The sequence below is a fragment of the Homo sapiens genome, chromosome 6 (assembly GCF_000001405.40).
Source record: "Homo sapiens chromosome 6, GRCh38.p14 Primary Assembly".
Classification (NCBI taxonomy): domain Eukaryota; kingdom Metazoa; phylum Chordata; class Mammalia; order Primates; family Hominidae; genus Homo; species Homo sapiens.
In genome coordinates this window covers 154,949,293-154,952,187 of record NC_000006.12, presented here as the reverse complement: position 1 = coordinate 154,952,187, position 2,895 = coordinate 154,949,293, and the positions used below count along the sequence as shown (strand labels likewise).

General features: G+C 50.2%; 1 annotated feature.

Moving 5' to 3' along the window:
- Nucleotides 328-828: an enhancer, noted in NCBI's record as "H3K27ac hESC enhancer chr6:155272494-155272994 (GRCh37/hg19 assembly coordinates)". NCBI's record gives its function as "activates a minimal SCP1, AML or CMV promoter by ChIP-STARR-seq in naive H9 embryonic stem cells {active_cell/tissue: H9 hESC(naive)}" and the evidence as "EXISTENCE:reporter gene assay evidence [ECO:0000049][PMID:30033119]".

Genomic DNA, 2,895 nt, shown 5'->3' with positions numbered 1-2,895 from the left:
TCCAGGCAGTAATTATAACTCAGAAGAGGAGTCAGGGCTGAAGATTCAAATCAGCAAGTCACCCTGGCTTGCAGTGACTTCTCTGAAAAGAGAAAATGCTTCACCAGAAGAACAGGGGAGAGCTCTTAGGTATGTCCCCAAAATCTGCTTGCTAGGATGGGATGAGTCACCCGGAAGGACCTGCCCAGGTGCTAAGGAAACTGGAAAGGGCTAGGTCAGGTGAGCCTGAGGGAACAGTTTCCTGAACGGGGGTGGAAGAGGAGGTCCACGGTGACAACTTTGGAAGGAAGGAAAAGGAGAAGGACCACGGAAAGACAAGGCGGTGTTTTTAAGGAAGTCATTCATGCATGGATGGTAGACAAGACGGCAGCAGAGCAGCTGGGGCAGATGCCAAACCACAGAGCACAGACAAAGAAGAAAGAAAATGTGAAAGAGCAGGAAGCAGTGGCTGCAGGTGACACTTCTGAGGAGGCCGTTTGGAAGCTACAGGAAGCAGTGGCTGGAGGTGACACTTCTGAGGAGGCCGTTTGGAAGCTACAGGAAGCAGTGGCTGGAGGTGACACTTCTGAGGAGGCCGTTTGGAAGCTACAGGAAGCAGTGGCTGGAGGTGACACTTCTGAGGAGGCTGTTTGGAAGCTACAGGAAGCAGTGGCTGGAGATGACACTTCTGAGGAGGTGGTTTGGAAGCTACAGGAAGCAGTGGGATAAAGGAGGGGGTGATCTTCATCCTGAGCATGCTTGCCAAACACACTCATGCCCATTGCACACGCTGAGATGTGCACCCAGCTCTCTTCTCCAGAGAGGTCCACATGGCACACATGTGAATGGCCCAAACTTCTGGACGTGTGGTCCTCTGTGCCCAAAGCCTCCGGGGTACCTAGGGAAACACGCTGGCTGCCTTATGAGCACGTGAAAGAAGCCCAGGTGCCAGACCTGAGCACTGAGCAGTTCTTGGCACTCATGCTGCTCATGGGGATTGTGTACAGAGAGCAGACTGGGCTGGAGGACCAGCAGGTGCACACAGAGGCCACCTCAAAGGGACATGGCAGCAGTACTGTGGGTCCCTTGCTCTCCCTATGAGTGAATGCAGCTTTGGGCAGCGTGACTGAGTCCACCCAAATCTAAGCACATCTGGTGAGATTGCTGGGGAGCCAGTCACGGAACACAGACTCTGACGTCTCCTGAGTCGGCAGAGATTCAGGCTCAGAAGCTCCATCCTCAGCACCCCCTTCACACTCTGGAGGAAGCTGGAGGAATCTTCTCCTACTGCTATCTTCACGTGGCATGGATACTGTAGAGGAGTAGGAATGGGGGTCCATGAAGGAATCTATTCTATCGCCAGAGCTTTGGAAGCCTTCAAATGGCCTACGAGCCTAGAGGCATCTGGAATCAAAGCAGTAATGACACCTTCCTGCCTTGGTGATTCTATTTAATGAAGAATAACTATAAAGAGAGCAAGATGGCCAAACAGAACCCTCCAGCTATCATCCCACCCTGTCCCCTCCAACCTCACCCCTCAAGAACACCAAATTGAACTATTATCCACAGAAGACAGCACCTTCAAAAGAACCAGAAAATAAGGTGAGCAATCACAGTACCTGGTTTTAACATCATATCAAGGAAGAGGCACTGAAGAGGGTGGGAAAGACAGCCTTGAATTGCTCACACTACCCTTCGCCCTTCCCCTAGGAGCGCAGCATGATGCAGAGAATCTGTGTCTTTGGAAGAGGGAGAGGGAAGTCATTATGGAGCTTTGCATTGCAACTCAGTGCTGCCCTGATACAGTGGAAAGCAACACAGGGCAGAATTAGGCTGGTGCCCATGGAGGGAGCATTTAGACCAGTCCTAGCTGGAGGAGAAGGGTTCGTCTTGGTAGTCAGAACCGGAGTTCTAGCAAGCCCTGCCACTGCAGGCTCAAGTGCTCTGGGGTACTAAATAAACTTGAAAGACAGTTTAGGCCACAAGGACCACAATTCCTGGGCAAGTCGCAGTACTGGGCCGACCTTGGAGCCAGTAGGCTTGGTGTGCATGCAACCCAGTGAAACACTAGCTGACATGGCCAAGGCCTGTCCCCCAACCCCAGGCAGCACAGCTCGCAATTCCAAGAGGAGAGGAAAGAGTAAAGAGGACTTAAAGAGGACTTTATCTTGCAACTTGAACACCAGCTTAGCCACAGTAAAATAAAGCACTAAAGTCCTGAAGCCCCCATTCGAGGCCATAGCTCCTGGGTGACATTTCTAGACCCACCCTGGGCCAGAAGGGAACCCACTGCCCTGAAGCAAAAGACAGTCCCAGAAGAATTCACCACCAGCCAACTAAAAAGCTCTTGGGCATTGAATAAATATCAGGTCACCACAGGCCTTGGGTGAGACCCAGTATTGTGCTGGCTTCAGGTGTGACCCAACACACTCTCAGCAGTGATGGCGATGTAAGTGCTTGTGCCACCCATCCCCCAAATCTAGACAGCTCAGCATGGAGAAAGTGATTCCATTTGTTTGGTGGAAAGTAAGAGAAGGGTACGAGAGACTCTGCCTGGTAATCCAGGGAATTCTCTTGGATCTTATCCAAGATCACCAAGGCAGTACCTCTACGGGTCTGCAAAAGTTACACCGTTACTGGGCTTGGGTTGCCTTGTAATGCACATATGACTGCAATGACCAAAGACTTAGATCACAACACTCAATTCCCTTTGAATATTTGGAAAGTTTTCTCAAGAAGCACGGGTACAAGGAAGTCCAAATTGTGAAGATTAGAATAAATACCTAAATCTTTAATATCTAGACATCAACAAACATCCACAAGTATCAGGACCATCCAGAAAAACATGACCTCACCAAATAACTAAATAAGACACCAGTGACCAATTCCAGAATGATAGAGATCTATGGCCTTTCA